General features: G+C 41.8%; 1 annotated feature.

Annotated features, from left to right (window-relative positions):
- Positions 5,740 to 6,939: an enhancer, noted in NCBI's record as "CDK7 strongly-dependent group 2 enhancer chr17:63358670-63359869 (GRCh37/hg19 assembly coordinates)". NCBI's record gives its function as "activates an origin of replication core promoter dependent on BRD2, BRD4, P300/CBP, MED14 and CDK7 cofactors, with strong dependence on CDK7, by STARR-seq in HCT116 cells {active_cell/tissue: HCT116}" and the evidence as "EXISTENCE:reporter gene assay evidence [ECO:0000049][PMID:35650434]".

The raw sequence follows: 21,728 nt of genomic DNA, 5'->3' as shown, positions 1-21,728 counted from the left end.
GGCCAGGCGTGGTGGCTCAAGCCTGTAATCCCAGCATTTTGGGAGGCGGACGTGGGCAGAACACTTGAGAGTTCAAGACGAACCTGGCCAACATAGTGAAACCCCATCTCTACTAAACAATACAAAAATTAGCCAGGCGTGGTGGCAGATGCCTGTAATCCCAGCTACTCGGGAGGCTGAGACAGGAGAATTGCTTGAACCTGGGAGGCAGAGGTTGCAGTGAGCCAAGATCATGCCACTGCACTCCAGCCTGGGTGGCAGAGCGAGACTCCATCCCAAAAAAAAAAAAAAAAAAGAAAAGAAAGAAAAGATAAATGCTTGAGGTGACAGATACCCTATTTACCCTGATGTGATTATTACGTGTTGCATTCCTGTGTCAAAATAACTCATGTACTGTGTAAATATATATACTTACTATGTAACCACAAAAATTAAAAATGAAAAATAAATAAATAAATAAATAACAAAAACAAAAGTACAAAAAATTAGCTGGGTGTGGTGGTGTGTGCCTGTAGCCCCAGCTACCTGGGAGGCAAAAAAAAAAAAAAAAGAAAAATGAAAAAAAGATATGTACATTTTTTAAAAACAGAATAAAAAGAGAACAAAACTTCTTTCCTGACGGTGGGAATAGTGGCAGGCAACGACGTTCAAGGTTCGGAGAATCCAACCGTAAACAAACACACAAACAGATCATAAAATGTGAGGTACTGATAAGTGTTAAGTAGTAGGCAGAGGATTAAAATAGACTGATATGCTGGTAAGTAATTGGGTGGTCACTCCCAGTCTCTCTATAAGCAGATGGCTTTTAAGGTGAATAATATGAATAACTGGTACATCTCTTCCTTCTTTGTTAGCTTTATAATCTCTAACAGTACTTAATGTTGAGAGTCGCTCCGATGCCATGTGTATGTCATCTCTCACTTATACAGACTCACACTGACATTCACACATTAACAGTCAAAGGGGCAGCCTCAGACCATCCACCATCTGGGGCCGCCTATTGTTCCCTCCACCCCCTTTCTTGTATCGGAACTAAGACCCCATTCTCCCCTGTCCTTATACACTCCACATGTCCCCCACCCCATCTGAGGAGTTCATGAGCAGCATGTTGAATATATAAAGTGTGTGATGCAAGTTGGAGATTGTGGAAGTGTGGGAGGCCATCCTGAACATCTGCTAGCCCTAGACCGTCTTCTAGATGCTCTTTGTTTTTAATACATCTCTGGAGTGAACCACCTTAGTCCTCTTTTGTTTCTCCAAAGGACTGAAGAAGAAAATAAGCCAATTATGTAAGCATTCTGGCTAGTAAACTCTTGGTACCTACTAACTATAGATCTAAATGTTGTGTAGTAATGCTAAGGACTCCACGTTCCTAGGAAATCCTCATTATTTTTACTCTCATTCCCAACACACTAACTCTCTGAGTTAGGAGAGGACACCACTTCTCCCCAGAAATGAGAACACTTCTCGCTTCCTTCCCTCCCTTCCCTTCCCCTCTCCCTTTCTGCCTTCCTTTCTTTCCTTCCTTTTTCTTTCCTTCCTTTGTTCCTTCCTTGCTTCCTTCCTTCCTTTCTCTCTTCCTCTTTCCATGTTTCCTTTCTTCTTCCTTCTCACAGTTTCACTCTTTACATATGTATCCATCATCAATTTATTGTTTACTGTTGCCATTTTTGCACTTTGTATTAATGAAATCATACACATATGCTATGGCTTCCTCTATGACATGTGTTTCTTTGTTCATCATTTTTTCATGTTTTTGAAATTTATTCATGTTCATATCCACAGCTGTTAGATATTTTCTCTAAATAATAGTTTTTCTTTGTATTAAAATGCCACAATTTGTCCCTTCTGCTGATGGGCATATAGGCAGTTTCTGGTTTTCACTATTGCATGTGATGCTGTAATGAACACTCCCTGTCCTGCCTCCTGGTGCACATGGACATACACTGGGGAACAGAATTGCTGGTTCAAAGTGTTATGAGCAGATTCAACTTTGCCAGACAAAGCAGAGCGTTTTTTTTGTTTTTGTTTTTGTTTGGTTGTTTTTTGTTGTTTTTTTGTTTTTGTTTTGTTTTGTTTTGTTTTCCAGAAAAGCTGTCATTTGAAGAAAGCTCTCTGTAGTTAGGAAAGGGGAACATAGGTCCGGGTGGGTTCAAAAGTAGCTTCTCTAACCATTACAAGAAATTTATTAGTTTTTCTTAAAAAGTAAGTCTGCAATTTTAATAAATAAGAATCCACATAAACAAAGTACTTTGGCGTACGTGGAAGGAGCCCAAGCCGTGGGATGCATCGATGAATACAGGGTGCTTCTCCTGTTAGATAGTGGACTGCCCTAAGTAGGCAAAAGTGTGATGCACATAATTGTGATGTGTTTGAGGTAAAGCCAAAGGAGAAAGAGTCAGGGAATGCTGGCACTGCCCATGGCACTAACTAGTTGGGGCCTGGATCCCAGTTTTCAGATGGAACTGTCCCCTCTGGCTCCTCAGTCAACGCGAATTTGCTTGAAGGACCATCAGTTCCTTAAAGCCTCATCTCCCCCAATGGGTGTTGTTTTATCAGCCTCCTCTCTGTGTGGGGAAGCCCGCCTCACTCAACCTCACTGTTTTACGTAAAACTGGCCGATTCCCTCATTTAATTCATAATAATGAAAACTGAACATATGACTGCAATTTTAAATTGTTTTGGGTTTTGTTCACAATGATGCAAACAGGAACGCATAGATTCATAGATACACACAAAAGAAAATCAAGACCATTGTTTAACCCCAAATGGATTTTATGCACAACATAGACCAAAGTGAATTTCAGTGAAAATACTGCTGGAGATTCAAATCTGTCATGGGTGCCCACAGTGGTGATTCCATGACAGGCTTCCTCCACCCACACCAGCGAAGCGTGGGCGTGGGAAATGACTTCATCCTGTGCTTCCATTTTCTGATTGATTTGCATAATGCTTAGGAATTTGTGAAATATTTCCACCGGCGTTGTTTAATTAGATTTTCATAACCTAGTGAGTGAGGAAGAAGGGATGATCTCCAATTATGCAGAATGAAGAAACCGAGGCCCAGGGAGGTTGACAGACTTGTCCTGAGTCACCTTTGCTCCTCTCCCAACTGGGTAGGGTCCAAGAGGGCTGGGTTGCGCCACAGTCGATGGAAACGTGTGCATCTCAGGGTGCATCTTGGGATTATGGTGGTATTTCTCCATGTCCAGGGCTAACCGAGCTTAAAATCACTAAGGAGAAATGGGCACCCACTGAGCGAGGTGGCCATCCATTCCAACATCTCATCACGGCCCTGGCCCCAGCAGCATCTTCCAGAGCGACTCGAGCCCATCCAGGGAGAAACCATTAGCAACACAGTGATGATAATTGCATAGTAGGCAGGAATGAATTTCAGATTCCCACCTTGCTCTGATTTTCAGGCCTCTCTTCTGTGGTGGAAGGTAAATATCCCAAGAAAAACAAACCTTGGCTGCAGCTGTCTTCAGGGATCTGTGTACTTTCAAGATAAGGTGAGTTGCCCCAATCATTTTATGATCCTAATTGTTGGGGAACAGGATATTCGTCCTCAAACACATCACTGTGACCCTCCCAGCTTCCTTCTGTGCTGATTAAGATGAAGCCATTTGCTTATGAAGCCCCCCAGACCTGTGGCTTTGATAGTCATTTTTTTCCTGTCCCTAGAAAACCTAATTTCCAGAGGGTATGCCTCACCACAGCAGGCCTCCACGTGGCTTACACAAATAATGCAAAAATCTCCAACAACCCCTACAAAGAACTTGCTCCTGGTGCATGGGCTGCATTTTATTTTGTTTTGTTTTATTTTATTAAATTTTTTTAAATCTAACTAATAACACTTGAGCTGTTGTTTTCCTTACCCCTGTTCCCCCAACACCTTCAATTGTACATAGAGTAATTTCAAACTGTAAGCTACTCCTGACTTAGCTACTTATTAAAAACACTAATATCCTTGGCTGCTTTGATGTCTATGGAACAACAAAGGAAGAGAGTTACTCTGGGCCACTGTAATCCTTGATTTGTCACTAAGTTATGACACCCAGCAGAGCCGTGTGACAGTGCAAATCAATCATCCCATGTGCTCCGCGGGGCCTTCCGTGCCTCCCGCCGAGCCGCTGCAGTTTAATTAGCTTTTTTCACACTACCACAATGTACATCTGCAGCTTCAGCAAGAGAAAGAGATGGAGGCGAGTTCACCGGGAAGCGGGAGCCTTAAAAAAAGTTCATATCGTGGAAAAAAAAAAGTCTGAAAGAAGAAACATCAGAGACCTTTGTAGTTTTTGCTTCAGAGGCATTAAGACTGAGATACACAGGCCTGGGGTACACCAGATTGTTAAATGTAGACTTTAAAAACAGCTCCACCAAACCCTGTGCGGAGGAGCTATCAGATGGTGTTTAAAGGACCTTTTCTTCTTTTGGGGGCAGTCTGTGTCTTCTGTTTTCCTCCTGCCTCTATACCCCACCTTTGGTTGATTGTGCAGAAATTCTTTGAGCCCAGACCTTCTCGAGTCCACCAAGATGAAGGAGGTGAGACCTTGATTCTGCCCAAGTTTTGCAAAACTTTGGATAAGTTCCTCCTGAAAGGTGGTGTCCTTGAGTGAAAATCATGTTCCTCTGTTCACTTTGCAGTGATAAATAATGGCAGCCAAAGACTAAAGGTAGGAATGAGGCCTCGAAAGTTGGGAGTCATTGACGGGGACAGCAGGGGTGAGAGCAAATCAGGCCTCGGTGTCAGGCACAGAGTGACACTTTTGTCCTGGCCCGGGAGGGAGTTAGACAGATGAGATCAAGCTGACTCTGCCTATGCTGGGGGGTGTTCAGGACACTGTCTGGTTCCTCTGGAAAACCACCTACCAGAGGAGGGGCTGGGAGACAGCCAATCTGCTCTTTTCCCGGCCAGTTTCTGGGCAGCTGTTATGGCTCATGGGCGGGTGAGCTCAGACCCTGATGACAGTGATTTAATGTGGGTTGGAAGTTGGGTTTTCTCCTCCCAGAATTCTCTTTCCCCAGTTAGGGGGAAGGGAGCAGGACGGACCATGGAGGTGCTGAGGGGTCCCCTTGTCACAAGTCATCATCCTCTATTCAGGTGATGGCTTCTGCATCACTTGCAGGGAGGATGCCAAGAACCTATCTCAAAAGCTCTCCCTGGAGCTCTTTCTACCCATTTTGTTTGGGCTTTAGCAACAGCCTGGGCCCGTTTCTTCTGTTTCTGTCCCTCACATGTTGGCACATCTCAGCTGATGGAGGCAGGCTCTGCTGTGTGCAGCTGTTCTGAGACTGCACTGCCAGACACTGGAGGGTCTCCCATGAAGATCCTGGCCCAACCTGCAGAACCTTCAGCCCCATATCAAAAGATGAAAGGGTCAGTACTAAAAAGAAATGAGCTAACAAGCCACAAAAGGATGTGGAAAGAACTGAAATGCATATTGCTAAGTGAAAGAAGCCAATCGGAAAAGGCCATGTACTGTAAAAATCCAACTGTATGACATCTGGAAAAAGGCAAAACTATAGGGGCAATAAAAAGGTGAGTGGTTGCCGGGGTGGTGGGGGAGAGGGAGGAGGGTGAATAGGTGGAGCACAGGGCATTTTTAAGGCAGTAAGACTCTTCTCTATGATATTGTCATGGATACATATCATCGTATGTTTGTCAAAACTCATGAAATATACAACACAAAAAGGAAACCCTCATGGAAGCTATAGACTTTAGTTAACAATAGTGTATCAGTATTGTCTTATCAATTGTACCAAATCTACCACACTAATGAGTTATTAACAAGATGTTAATAATAGGAGAAATTTGGTGGTGGTGTAATATGGAAACTCTGTTATTTTCACTTATTTTTTGTAAATCTAAAACCACTCTAAAGAAGAAAGTCTTGTGCAGGATTTGGATTAAAATGAAAAGAAAAAAAAAGGATAAAGTCTGACTGGACGAGGTGGTTCACGCCTGTAATCTCAGCACTTTGGAAGCCCAAGGAGGGAGGATTGCTTGAGTTCAGAAGTTCAAGACCAGCCTGGGGAATATGGTGAAACCTCATCTCTGCTAAGAATAGAAAAATTAGCCAGGCGTGGTGGCACGCACCCATAGTCCCAGCTACTCAGGAGGCCAAGGTGGGAGGATCGTCTAAGCCCAAGAGGCAGATGTTGCAGTGAGCTATGATCGCACCATTGCACTCCAGCCTGGGTGACAGAGCCAGACCCTGAAAAAAAAAAGGAATAAAGTTTATTCATTAAATTTTTTTTAAAAGTCACAGGGACAAAAGCAACAAAAACAGGAGGGAGAGGAGAGGTGAGCAAGGGGAGGCTTCCCTCCAACGTGGAATGTTTATTTTGTAGTTAATGGCCAGCGGGCATTCACTGAGACCTGTGGTTACCTGGGAAGCATCCTTTTCTTCTGAGACAGACTTCCTCCTGACCTTGCTTTGAGCACTGAGCAACAGTCACCTCCCTGTTAGTGACACATGAAACCTGAGTCTAACTCTCCTTCCCTGTTGACCTCCAGGGACATCCAAGTGCCATGTTTTATGTAATGGGTGGATGTAAACAGCATTTTGATATGTTGAATCACCTTTTGAAATATACAAAGGAAATATTCTCTAGTGAACTCCTCTGGAGAGGAAAGAGGCACATAATTTCAGGGCAGAAATTATTCTTCTAGGTCATGTGGTCCCACCCCCAGAGAGGTTAATTGACCTGATCAAGGTTATCCAGCCAAGCCTGGACCAAACTGAGACCAATTTGAGGTTTCCTGACTCTCCATCCTATCCAGCATCCTTCCACTGGGGTGGCTGATAAATGGTCACCAGGGTGGTGGAAAGTTGGCCTGCTGACCTTCCAGGAGACCTGAGTCCCAGTCCTGTATCTGTTTGTCGGGGGTGTGTGGCTTCATTAAATCTCATAACCTCCCTCTACACAAGCCCAGATGAATTTCTTTGTCTCCAAAATGGAAACACTCGTCATATTAGAACTCTTGGCTGGCTGTGGTGGCTCATGCCTGTAGTCCCAGTACTTTGGGAATCTGAGATGGGCAGATCACTTGAGGTCAAATGTTTGAGACCAGCCCTGCCAACATGGTGAAACCCTGTCTCTATTAAAAGTCCAAAAATTAGCCGGGCATGGTGGTGTGTGTCTGTAATCCCAGCTACTTGGGAGGCTGAGGCAGGAGAATCACTTGAACCCGGGAGTTGGAGGTTACAGTGAGCCGGGATCATGCCACTGCACTCCAGCCTGGGCGACAGAGTGACACTCTGTCTCAAAAATAAAATAAAATAAATAAAATAAAACAAAATAAAGTAACTCTCACCAGCAGTTACCAGGATTGAGGCATTTTTGCAGAATAGAAAGCTTGTCCTGTGCCAGTTAATGCTGCGTTGGGTTACTTTCCTCTCTACTGCATTTTTATTCCAGACAGGGATTATATCTTCTTCCCAGAGAGAGGCAAAGGGTTTATTTACTCCAGTGGAGCGGTGCTTCTCAAACTTCCACGTGCACCTGAATTCTGGTGGGGGGATCTTGTTAAGATGTCCATTCCAATTCTGCAGGTCTGGGGTGGGGCTCCAGGTGCTGCCTTTCTTCCCAGCACCCAGATGGAGCTGATAAAGCTGGTTCCTGGCCCACACCCTGAGTGGCAGGGCCCTGGAGGACAGGGGGGCCAGGGGAGGGGCCCACAGGGTGAGAATCCCTTCAGTGGGTGTCTCTGGCTGCTTTTGTCAGGGATAGGGGGCCTGGGGGGCACGTCCCCATCTTTGACTTCAGGAGCGTCAGAATCAGAAGCTCCTGGGGCCCGGGGCCTCCCCAGCATCTGGGGGATCAGCTGCCAGGGTTGACAACCTAGCAGGGAGGGGACAAGGACCTCGAAGGGCCCACTGGCCCCTTGTTCATTTTGGCTCCTGTTCAACTTCAGACAAGGCTCAGCGCCTTTCTCCATCCCCTGCCTTTCCCCACCTGAGGAGTCCACACCAGCCTCCTGCCTGAGTGTCTGATGCAGAACTTTCAGCTGCTCAGAAGCTCAGCCTCACCAGACACTTCAAATACTTTCCCACCAAGGGTCTGGGACATCCCATGAAGCCCTCGCAGCCCCAGCACCGGGAGGTCAGCTTCAAAGATAATGTGTGACTGGGGGCCAGCTCCCGCTCAGAGAAGGCTTAGCACTTTGGGGGTGACTCCCCGGAAGAAAGGCCTTCTCATCGCAGAGGGGAAGGACGTCCCTTTTGAAAGACAGACCTTGTTTTCCTCCTCCTCCCACCGCCTGTTTCATCTGTTTCATGTCAACTCAGTCTGGGTCCAGGAAGATGTACGTGGGTGGGGCTGGGAGGGGTGGGAATTTGGCACGCGCGGACTCTCCTGGTGTGTGATTGCCTCAGGTGCTTTTGTTTGCACCTTGGCAATGCTCGTGGCGCTGGGTAGGTTCACTGGAGACTGTTTTCGCACCAGTGTCTTGTTTTGCATTTAATTGACATTCCCCAGAGGCAGGGCCCAGCAAGCATAGAGTGAGGGCTCTGGGAAGACAGCAGGCACGAAGCCCCCAGCTGCCACCAAGCCCCCCTAGCTGCCACAGGCCCATTGCACTATGAGGGGCATTTAGCATTCTTGGCCTCTTTCTACTAAATCAGAGTCCTCCCTAGACATGTGACAATCAAGAAATGTCCCCCTACAGTTCCAAATGTCCCCTGAGGGGGCTGGTCCCTCTCTCCTGGTTGAGAAGTAATGAGGGCCTCAGTGACAGTGGAGACCTGCCTCTTTGGCCAGCCATGCAGACCTCCTGGCTGGGGGTTATGCACCTGAAAATTCATGGGTATAACCTGGACAGAGCAGGGCGCTGAGACTGGTCTCCTTCCGTGGCTCTTGGGTTCTGTGACCGTAGTTCATCCAGGACACTGGAGTGCAGGTGTCTGTGCCTCCTCCTGCCTTCCACCCTTCTCCCCCTGCCTGCTGACCCCAAAACACCCACACACATAGTCACTCCCACTTACATACATGTATGCACACACACTCATGTACACACATACTAACAAATGCACACACACGTGTGCACTCATACATATACATATTTTCTGACACACACTTACACACTGTGATGTCTGGTCACACACTCATATACACATACCTACACAGCTGTACACACTCACACACTCATGTACAGGCACTCACACAGTCGCGCTTACACACAGCCCTGCGAAAGCCCAGGTTTCCTTACAGGCTCCTCAGAAGAAACACCCCAGTGTCCTCTAAGGGAGTCCCTTTTTCTCAGAGTGCCCGGGCAAGGAAGGAGAAGGTATTGCTATCCTTGGGTCAGCCTGGCCCTTGGGGACAGAGAAGACAGTGAGGGCTGGACAGGGACATAGTGTTACCTGTGTCACCTGCCACCAGCCCAGACAGGAGCAGAACTCTAGAGGGCAGCTGCTTAGCTATTTAATGGTTTTGTCCCTCTGAACACCAAAAATGATGATTTATTCTAGTTCCTCCTCCATGCCCATCAGAAAAGCAATTCATGATTATACAAAAAATGTAGAAATGACAGAAAAGAAAAGAAAATACTCCACAACACAATCTCACTGCTCACTGAGAGATAACCATTGTTAACAATTCTGTTTACGCTTTCTAGTCATTTTTCTAATTGCCTATTATCATGCTTAGTTTAATTAATCACGCCTTTTCTTTACTCTAATGCTTTAACATCTTGAGGACTTGCTAACCCTGGAGGCACGGGCTCTTCCAAGTTTAGTCAATTTCTAGAGATAGCAAGAGATTCACTTAGAGTGCCTTGCACAGGCAAACCAACGAATCTAGAGCCCACACCCCAAGCACCTCCTTTATTGATAATATGGTTGGGCTGTGTTCCCACCCAAATCTCATCTTCAATTGTAGTTCCCATAATCCCCATGTGTTATGGGAGGGACCTGGTGGGAGGTAATTGAATCATGGGGGTGATGATTTTATAAGAGGTTTTTCCCCCTTTGCTCAGCTCATTCTCCTGTCACCTTGTGAAGAGGTGCCTTCCGCCATGATTGTAAGTTTCTCGAGGTCTCCCCAACCATCCAGAACAGTGAATCAATTAAACCTCTTCTTTATAAATTACCCAGTCTCTGGTATTTCTCCACAGCAGCGTGACAATGGACGAATAAAACTGGGCTCTTACACTCAGGGCTACTTACTACTGCCCTTCTCCAGTCACTCCAGAGCCAGCTGTCAGCAACTAGGGACAGCCCCCATGCCCCAGAGCCCAGTGAAATTATTTAGGTGAGTCAATCCTAAGCCTGCCTACCCTGACTCACCCATTCCTTCCTGCAGAAACCACAAAAAAGTCTCTTGTCTGCATTTTCCCCTCACTCTCTCTGCTTCCTGACAGATCCTGGTGCTCCCATGTGTGCCTTCCCATGGTCCCCACTGTGGCATGGTGCACCCCTCCTCATGAGATGTGTGAGCATAACCATTGGTTCAATGGCAGTCGCCTCCTGATCTGAATACCATACCTGAATAATAATAAAACCTGCATTTTAAGACACTGTAGTATCCAATTATTGAATCAAACACTGATCTGGATGTTGCAGGGAAGGTATTTTGCAGCTGTGGTTAACATCAGCAATCAGTTGACTTTGGATAGAAAAGATTCTCCTCCATAATCTGGCTGGCCCCTGACATGGTTTGGATCTGTGTCTCCACCTAAATCTCATGTCGAATTGTAATTCCCAGTGTTGAAGGTGGGGCCTGATGGGGGGTAATTGGATCATGGGGGCAGTTTCCAATGTTTTAACACCATCCTCCTAGTGCTGTTTCATGATAAGAGTTCTCATGAGATCTGGTGGTTTAAAAGTGTGTGCCACCCTACTCCCAGCCTCCTTCATTCTCTTCCTCCTGCTGTGGCCTTGGATGAGCCTGTTTCCCCATCACCTTCCATCATGATTGTAAGTTTCTGAGGCCTCCCCAGAAGCCAAGCAGATGGCCAGCATCATGCTTCCTGTACAGCCGGCAGAACTGTGAGCCAATTAAACCTCTTGTCTTTACAAATTACCCAGTCTCAGGTATTTCTTTATAGCAATGCAAGAATGGACTAATACAGCCTTTATCCAAACAGTTGAAAGGCCTTAAGAACATAACTGAGGTTTCCCAGAAAAGAAGAAATTCTGCTGCAAGACTGCAATATCAATTCCTTTATATGTACATACATACATATATTTCCTATTGGTTCTGTTTCTCTGGAGAATGCTGACTGATACACACCTATCTATTTATGCATTCATCTATTAATCCACCCATCAATCAATCTGAATCATATGCAATTTGCACCCTACTTTATTCACTTAACATTTCTTCCATATCACCATTTTATTCTCTTTTGTGTGTGTTTGTTTTTTTGAGACAGAGTCTCACTCTGTTGCCCAGGCTGGAGTGCAGTGGCACCATCTTGGCTCACTGCAACCTCCACTTCCCAGGTTGAAGTGATGCTCATGCCTTAGCCTCCTGAGTAGCTGGGACTACATGCACTGACCACCACATCCGGTGAATTTTTGTATTTTTAGTAGAGATGGGATTTCTCTGTGATGCCCAGGCTGGATACCCAGAACTGCTGACCTCAAGTGAACTACCCGCCCTGGCCTCCCAAAGTGCTGGGATTACAGGCATGAACCACAGTGTCTGGCCCATATCACCATTTTAATGACCATGTAGTAGCTCATAACATGGTTACACCACAGCTCACCCGAATTCCCTATTATTGCACCTAATTTTTGGCCATTATAAATGTTACTATGAAAATTTTGTATATTAATTATGCATCTTTGATCAGTTCTTACGACAAATTTCCAAAAAGGGGACTACTACGCTGATGGGAATGAAAACATCCATTTCTCTGTTGAGAAATATTAATATTTCCAAAATGCCCTTCAGAGCCTCCACCTCTAAGTTTAACCTGTGCTTCTGCATTCAGCCACAGAAGCCTCTGAGTACTATCAATTTTGTTTCCTTTTAAAACAAAAAAACTGTAATTTCAAAATTACTGCAAGAATGTGTGATTATAGACTTACTGTAAACATTTCAAACATTTCAGACATTGCAGAAGTATTAGATTGGTGAAAAGCAATTGCGGTTTTGCCATTAAAAGTAATTGCAAAGCCGCAATTACTTTAGCACCAACCTAACATATAAGATAAAAAATGAAGTCTCTCTCTCTCTCCCTGCCTGCACCTTGCTCCAGCTCACTTCTGTTCTTATAATAACCCCCAAGAGTGGGTCACTGGGCTTCCTTCCAGATCTTCCCCCCAACAGCCACAGCCACACACAGGTGGCAGGATGATATCACATAATAGGGACAAATGTCGATTTCTTTCTTCTTCACGTTTTCTTCCTACCTCTTGTTGCCCTGAGGGAGAGTTGTGACCACAAATGCAGAGAACAAAGGCATCAAAATATTTTCGCATTTATGTATTAAAAAACCAGAGTCCAGGAGACCAACTTCCTTGCTGAGGAGTTTTTCCCCACCAGCCTGGGGCATGCACTGTCTGGACAGAGGAATAGGAGGAGTCAGAGAGTCAGGGGCTGGTGGATGTGAACCCTACACAGACCCCTACTCACGTGCTGCTCTCACTCCCAGCAAGCTGCAAGAGCGAGAAGGTGGCAAAAGAACCCTCCCTTGGAAATGTCTGGAAATCCACCAACACAGTGGAACTGTGCCCCTGGGTCCCTGGCTGGGAAGTGGCTGCCACTGAGGAGCTCTCGGTCTCCATGGTGTGGAAACAATAGAGCCAGCCACAAGGTCTGCCAGGGCCAGAGAGGACATGAGGCAGTGCCACTGGGTGTCCCATGGTCCTAGAGGAGAGCTTGAGGGAGAGCCAACCTCACACGCCTCTGCTGTTGTGAATAAAAGGACCGCTGCAGTAGCTAGAAGGGAGGCTCAGGAGACCTGGGAGGTAGGGAGAGAGCAGTGGAGATCCCTCCAGTGAAGCAGGTGTGGTGTGAGCCTCTCCTGGGGGCCAGACTGGAGCATCCATCAACAGGGAATCTGGCGTGGACAGACACAGCCCCCAGACGAGACCCTTCTTCTAGCAGCAGGACACTGTCTGAGCACTCTTCCTTCCAAGATCAGAGGCCACCTGGGGGAATAAAAAGAGGAAAAAATCTTATGGAGTGAGTTTCCTTAGAATCGACTATGACTCTATTTCCTACCACTAAGTTGTATTTCAAAGTAGTCAATTATTTTGAACACCTGGACATGAGTTTCAAAATTTGTAATACTTATATATATATATAATTTTTATTGCTAAATCATCAGATTATCCTATATATACATAATTGTATATCATTCTGTGACTTCCTTTTTGAACTTGGCTATCTACCTATCTACCTATCTATCTGATTTCTATTTCAGTTCATGTCTTCTGCCTCATTCTTTTTTTTTTTTTTTTTTAATAGAGATGAGGTCTCACTATGTTACCCAGGCTGGTCCCGAGTTCCTGGGCTCAACTGACCCTCCCACCTCAGTCTCCCAAAGTGCTGAGATTATAGGCATGAGCCACCATGCCCTGCTCACCTCATTCTTTTTTAACACTGTCATCATCTCTTTCTCTCTTTTTCTCTCCTCAGACTGGATGCAGTGTCTCACTCCTGTAATCTCAGCATTTCAGGAGGCCAAGGCCGGAGGATTTCTTGAGGCCAGGAGTTTGAGACCAGCCTGGGAAACAAAGCAAGATCCCATCTCTACAAAAAATTAGGTGGGTGCCTGGCACATGCCTGTAGTCCCAGCTACTCAGGAGGCTGAGGAAGGAGGATCACTTGAGCCCAGAAGTTTGAGGCTGCAGTGAGCTTAAGATCAACCCACTGCAATCCAGCCTGGGTGACAGAAAAAGACCATGTCTAAAAAAATTTTTTTCAATGACTGTAATATATGCTTATAGTAAGAAACCACCAGGAAAGTCAGTCTCCCCAGCCCGGGTTCCTCATTCCCCTCTCCTCCTTAGGGGTAGCCACTGAAGCAAATGATGATGGTTTTGTTGACTGGAAGAGTCCGTTTTCTTCCGAGGTCTGGAGATGGGCCAGGGTTTCAAGCCTTGTTTGGTGAAAAGAGTCACTTCCTCCTTGGAGAGGCTGAGAGTGGATCCCTCATGGGGCATAAGAATGGACTCATATATTGCTTCCTGTTCCATAGTATTTGCACCCATCGCTCTTCCACAGAGGTTCAGCAGGAGCTGCTGAACATAAACCCAAGATTGACAACATCCATACAGAAAAGTGTACAAAGCAAAAATGTATGGCTCAGTATATTACTACAGATTTATTTTGAATACCCATGTAGCCAGAACAAAAAAACACACTCTAATATCCCCTCCCCGTCACTGATCCCTCATATCCCCTCATATCCCCTCCCTATTACTAATCTTTCCCTCTCCACCACGAGTAAATTTTATAACCTCTTCCTTATTTTATTTATAGCTATATCACCTAAGTGTGCATTCCTAAACACTATAGCAGTTTGCCTGCTTTTTTGAGTTGTATATAAATTGAATCATACAGGACACAAAGGAACGCATCTTCTTGCATTTGATGTCTTTTGTGCAGCATCGTGAGACGGATCCACTCTGTTGTGTTACTTTGGTTCGTTCAATTTCATTGCCAGATAGCATTCCATTATGTGAATATTCCACAATTTATTATTCATTCTGCTGTTGATAGACATGTGGTTTGTCTCCAATTTTTGGCCAACATGAATGATGTTGCTAGGGACACTTGTGTGTCAGCCTTGTGGTACACAGGTACATATATTTCTGTTAGGCATATACTTAAGAGTAAAATTGCTCACAGGATAAGCCTATCTTCAACCTCAGTAAAGAATGCCAGATAGTTTTCCTGAGTGATTGTAATAATTTACACTTCCATAAGCTACGCATGAGAGGTCTAGTTACTTCACATCCTTACCAATTATTAGTACTAGTGGTTTTTGCTTTTTAAATATTAGCCATTGTGATGGGTATATAGAGGTAAGTCATTGCGGTTATAATGTGCCTTTCTTGATGACTAATGAAATTAATCACCTTTTCTTGTTTAGAGGACATTTGAATATCCAATGTGTAAACTACCCACTAATATCTTTTGACCATGTTTCTACTGGGACTTCTGGCTTTTTCTTATTGATTTGTAAGAGTTCTTTATATATTTTACATTGAGTTCTTTGTTGTTATATTTACTGCAAATATCTTCTCCCATCATGTGGCTTGCCTTCTCGCTTTATGATGGTGTCTGTGGCGGGGGGGGAAGGATGTTACTAATTTTGATGTAGTCCAATTTGCTAAACTTTTACTTTATGGTAAGTGCTTTCTGAATTCTGTTTAGGAAATCTTTGCTTACTCTGAGATCGTGAAGATGTTTTTCTGCATTGTAGCTTTACTATTTACATCTAAAATCTACACAGAATTGATTTTCATAGATGATATAAAAAAGAATCAGTATTAATTTTATTCTATATGCATATCCAATTGACCCAGTACTATTTATTGTAAAGATGTTTTCTGCTTTTTTCATTGTCCAGTAGTGCCAACTTTATAATATATCAAGTTTTTATATATGTATTGGTAGGTTTCTGAATTCTCCATTTTATTATTTTGGCTCATTTATCTAACATGTCACCATTACCACAATGTCTTAAATATAGCAATTAATGTCTTCATATCAGGTAGAGCTGGTACTTGTATTTTATCATTCTTTCTCAATATTTTCTTGGCTATTCGTGGCTATATGCATTTCAGTATAAATTTTAGGATCAACTTGTTAATATATGCACGCATAAAATATCTATTGAGATTTTGATTGGGATTGCATTGAATCTACAGATCAGTTTAGGGAGAATTAACATCTTTCAATATATGAATATGATACAATTATCTATTTTTTAAAATTATCTTCAATTTTCCTCAATAATCTTTTGTAAATTTTCTAATAGTGGTCCTGAATAGCTTAACTAGTTTCCAGCTTACCTATATGTTTAATGGCTTTGTATGTATGTAAAAATAAAATTTCATTTTCTAATTGTTGCTGGTATATAGAAATATATTAGATTTTTAATATTAAATTTATATTCAAATAATTTTCTAAATCTCTTATTTATTTCAGTTGATCAGAGATTCTTTTACATTTTCTACAAGCACAATTGTGCTGTTCGTGAATAATATTTCTTATACCTTTATTTCTTTTCCTTGCCTTACTGCACTGGCTAGGTCTTTCAGTATAATGCTAAATAGAAGTGGTTGTAGTGAGCAACCACGTGTCTTTCCTGATCTCAAGGGGAGACTGTATAAATATAATGTTTGTAGTAAGTTGTTTTGGGTAAATACCCTTTATCAGGTTAAGAAAGTTCTCTTCTATTCCTAATTTATAAAGGCTTTTATTTTTGATCATAAATGGTTGTAAAATTTTATAAAGCAAATTTTCCACATTTATAGAGATAATACAATTTTGCTTATTTATTTTGCTAGTATGGTGAATTGCAGTGGTTAATTTTCTAGTGTTAAGCAAAGTTGAATTTATTACTGAAATAAAAGTCTACCCAGAATTACTGCAATAAACTCAACTTGGTTATAATATATTATCTTTTTTTAGTATCTCAGGATTTGGTTTTCCAATCTTGTGTTCAGAATTTGTGTCTTTATTTATATGATACATCAGCCTGTAATTTTCCTTTCTTATAAATGCCTCATCAGATTTTGATGTCAACGTTACACTGTCTTCATAAATTGAACTGAAAAACTTTTCATCTTTTTTTATTTTCTCGAAGAGTCCATACAAAATTGGTGTTGTTTTTTTCTTAAGTGTTTGAAATAATTTACTGGTGAAGCCGTCTGGACCTGAATCTTTCAATGTTGGAAAACTTTATAATCACAGATTTATTGTTTCTATTAGATTTAGAATTATTCACATTTTTCAATTCTTCTAGTGTCAGTTTTGGTAAACTAAACTTTCCTAAATATTTATTACATTTAAATTTTCAAACGTATTAGTGTAAAGTTATTTATAATATCTTCTTTTGTTATCATTTTCATGCCTTTAAGAATCGCAGTAATGTCTCCTTTTAAACTTAATTCTTGATAATGGTTATTTGTGTCTTCTTTCCTTTTTATTTGATTAACCTTATGAGGGAATTATCAGTTTTATTAATTATTTTAAAGAATCAGCTTTTGGCATTATTTAATTTCTATATTTTTGTTTGTTTTCTATTCTATTAATTTCTGCTATTAGCTTTATTTCTTATTACCTTCTACTTTGTGGGGGAGGGAGGTTAATTTACTGTTCTTTTTTTCTAACTTCTCAAGTTTGGTACTTAGGTTGCTGAGCTTCAGGCTTTTTTTTTTTAGTCTAATGTATGAAACTAAGGATATGTAGCTTACTCTAAGCATTACTTTAGCTGTATCCCACAAATTTTGATGTGCCACATTTCATCATTATTCAGTTAAAAATATTTTCTAATTTCCATTATGATTTATTCTTTTACATGTGTATGTTTTAGAAGTATATCACTTAATAAACATATGGGAATTTTCTACTTATTGTTTGATTACTGATTTCTAGCTTAATTGCATTGTGTTCAGAGAATTTATTAAGTATGATTTCAATATTTGAAATTTATTGATACTTGCTTTATGATCCAGCATATATTCATTTATAGATCATGTTTTTAAGGAATGCTTAAAAAGAATGTGTATTTGGAGTTGTTGATTCCAGCATTCTATATATATCAATTAAGTCAAGTTTGCCAATTATGTTATTCCAATCTACTATATTCTTACTGATTGTTTGTCTGTTTTATTAGTAACTTAAGAACTGTATTAAAATATTTCTCTACGACTGTGGACTTATTCATTCTCCTTACACTTCTGAAAATTGTTGCTTTATATATTTTAAAGTGGTCTTGTTTGCTGCATACAATTCAGAACTACTATCTGACTTGCTTATGAATTTTAACTTTTCGCATTTTAAACTTTCTTGTCATTAGCAATTATTTTTTCCCTTAAAATCTACATTGTCTGATCGAATATAGTTATACAGGCCTTCTTTTGTTTTATGTTTACATGGTAAACCTTGTTCCATGCTTTTACTTTGAACCTTTTTATATCCTTATATTTCATATGAATCTCTGGGGAAAGTCAAATAGTTAGGTGTTATTAAAAAATAGTCTAAGTTGGTGGCCAGACACAGTGGCTCATGCCTGTAATTCCAGCACTTTGGGAGGCCTAGGCAGGTGGATCACCTGAGTCAGGAGGTCAAGACCAGCCTGGCCAATATGGTGGAACCCCATCTCTACTGAAAATACAAAAATTAGCTGGGCATGGTGGCAGACGCCTGTAGTCCCAGCTACTCGGGAGGCTGAGGCAGGAGAATAGCTTGAACCTGGGAGGCAGACGTTGCAGTGAGCCGAGACTGCACCATTGCACTCCAGCCTGGGCAACAGAGTGAGACTCTGTCTCAAAAAATGTATATACATAATAATAATAATCTAAGTTGTCAATCTTTGCCTTTTAATTGGCACATTTAATCCATTTATATTTGATGCAATTACTGAAGCATTTGGGTTGACATGTATGATTTTACTCAGAACTGCCTATTGTTTCACTGTCCTATTGTCTTTATTTTTTTCCTTTTGAGACAGTGAGGGTTCATTTGGATTAAGTATATTTTATCATCCTATTTTATTTATCTAGTAACTTGCAAGTTACACACTCTTTTGCTCTTTCTCTACTGGTTACTCTGGAACAATTTTTCTCAACAGGGGGCTATTTATCTATCTCTTTATTATTACTGTTTTAGACAATCCATTTAGATTTATCCACATATTTTCATGTTTTTGGTCTTCATTCTTTCTTGCATTTCCTACTTTTTATCTGAGAAAACTTTTCCTCTGTCTGAAATACACTTCAGTATTTCCTTTAGTGTAAGTGTGCTTGTGATGAATACTTAGTTTTTGTTCATCTGAAATGTTTTTATTTAACTTACTTTTTCTTTTTTTTTTTTTTTGAGATGGAGTTTTGCTCTTGTTGCGCAGGTTGAAGTGCAATGGCATGATCTGGGCTCACTGCAACCTCTGCCTCCCAGGTTCAAGCAATTCTCCTGCCTCAGTCTCCCAAGTAGCTGGGATTACAGGCATGTGCCACCACGCCCTGAAAATTTTGTATTTTTAGTAGAGATGGGGTTTGTCTACGTTGGTCAGGCTGGTCTCAAACTCCTGACCTCAGGGGATCCACCTGCCTCAGCCTCCCAAAGTGCTGGGATTACAGGTGTGAGTCACCACACCTGGCTCCAATTTGTTTTTATAACATCACTTTAGTCTTTCCTTCTCTTTCTCTCTCCTTCATTGTGATTATGTTTGACCTACCTTCCATTTCACCAATTCTCTCTTCAGTTTTGTCTAATTTTATACAAAAATCTATTCATTGAGTTCTAATTTTTGTTATTATGTATTTTAGTTCTATGTTTTCTTTTTGGTTTCTTTTAAAATATGCTATCTTCTCTCTTTTTTAAAAAAAGTATTTTAGAGTTACTTGCCAAAAATTCTCTCTTATCTTCTTCTTCATGATCATAGTAAGCATAGTTATTTTAAAGTCTGTGTCTAATAACTTCAGTATCTGGAGTCCCTGTAGATCTGTTTCTATTATCTTTACCTCACTAGTTCTCATTCATGTTTTCTTGTCTTTTTTTTTATTTGATGATGATGGTGATGATCATAATGATGATGATGACTGTGAGCTAGGCTTTGTATTTGAAAAATGATTTTTGGGAATAATTTGTGAACTAAGATGATGACTATCTTCTAGAAAGAATTTTCTTTTGCTTCTATAGGGAACATTAGCAATATGGCATTGCCTTAATCCCATTTCCATTGAGATTACTGAAACCTGGACTGTAGTCTTTGCCATAGATCTTTCTAAGTGCAGAAGTCTTACCAGGTGCCATTCAACCTTGGAAGACAATGGACAACAACTTTATTCTCTTACTGCTGGGAGTCTGCAGAAGGTACTGTTCAGCCTTTCAGCTTCTCAGTGTCTCTTCTAGAATTGCCAAAAGCTCCCAGAGGAAAAGCAGTCCTGAAATCCAGGCTCATCTCTCTGGGTTGCCAAACTCTCCTAGATCTTGGCCCAATAATTCTTCAGTACCTTGTTAATACTCTCCTGCCTTAGAGTGATTTTAAGACTGCTTTATCCAACTTATCTCATGGTACATAGTTTGGGAGATTAGTCTAAGTTACCTTGTTCTTCATTCCTGGAAGTGAAGTTTGAGATGGCATTATTTAATCATCACATACTCAGTATTGCATGAATTGCACTCATCTTGTAAGGAGACTTTCCTATATCCCCTCAATATATAGTTTAAACCACTGGATTTGGTATGTAGATTTAGAAGTAGTAAGATCTCCTGGACCAATCATTGGACTGCCTGTTAGAATACAAGCTTTTTTCTCTCCCTATCACTGACTGCACATGGCTCAAGCTGCAGTGGCCTTAGAGTTATAACATTTCAGTTTTACCATTTGTTCCCACCTATTTTTTTACTTAAGGGAGAAAACTCAGTAAAGCCTATGACAAGCCTAGAATTCGTGGCAGAGGAATTCTGTGCCTGATATAATTTATGGAAGAAGCCCTCTCTTTCCTTACTTTTGAAGACGTGCTCTGGATTGAGGCAAACAAACCTTGATTCTGTACCCTCCTTCTACTTCCAGAGTGCTGACAGGCATGATTAAGAATTTTATTAGCTAAAGTGGAGAAAAAGTGGAATTTCAAAGCTTCTACCTAGGCTTCATGTAGCTAGGATGGACATAAAGAGTGCATGACTGTTTGTGAAGGTAATGGAACAGCTCCCATTTCTTAGGTCTGGTGGACATGTTCTATAAGCAGAAGAATTCGTAAAAAAGAAAAATAGAAATTTCTCTGCCTATATTTCTGTATTAGGGACTGGGAAACTCTTGATCAATATGTCATTTTAAGAAAATATTTCTTACTCTGAATATGAGTTTAGGTTCCACTATCTTTGAGAACTGTATGATATCCATGGAAGTTATATGTATTCTGTCCAAGTCTAAAGTCTCACTGGTGCCAAGACTTTGAAAGAGACTAAACCTGCAGCACCAGTGCCTACCCTGGCTTTCCCCACAGAAGACCCCTACAGTGTTACTGCAGGATGTGTCACTCAGGTGGTCGGATTCTAGTTCAGAGATTATTGTATCCCATGAATTGCACTGGTGGGTGGCAAAACAGCTCCCAGACAAAACAAACATTTTGTTTCATGTTTCAAACACTTTTTTTTTCTTTTGAGACTTAATTTCGCTCTTATTGCCCAGGCTGGAGTGCAATGGCATGATCTTGGCTCACTGCAACGTCTGCCCCCCAGGTTTAAGCGATTCTCTTGCCTCAGCCTCCCAAGAAGTTGGGATTACAGGCTTGTGCCACCACGCCCAGCTAATTTTGTATTTTTAGTAGAGACGGGGTTTCTCCATGTTGGTCAGGCTGGTCTGGAACGCCTGACCTCAGGTGATCCACCCGCCTTTGCCTGCCAAAGTGTTGGGATTGCAGGTGTGAGCCACCATGCCCGGCCTCAAACACTTTTAGGAAAAACAAAATGTTTTTCCTAAAGAGAAACAGAGATAAAAGGATTGAGGTGAGTCTATGTCTAAAGAAAGAAGGAAAGAAAAATCCCTTAAGGCAAGGAAGCTCAGCTTGGAAGAGTTTATCCTATTTTCT

The sequence above is a fragment of the Homo sapiens genome, chromosome 17 (genome assembly GCF_000001405.40).
Source record: "Homo sapiens chromosome 17, GRCh38.p14 Primary Assembly".
Classification (NCBI taxonomy): Eukaryota; Metazoa; Chordata; class Mammalia; order Primates; family Hominidae; genus Homo; species Homo sapiens.
Note: the sequence above shows the minus strand (reverse complement) of the source record. Positions and strands in the feature narration are given on the sequence as shown.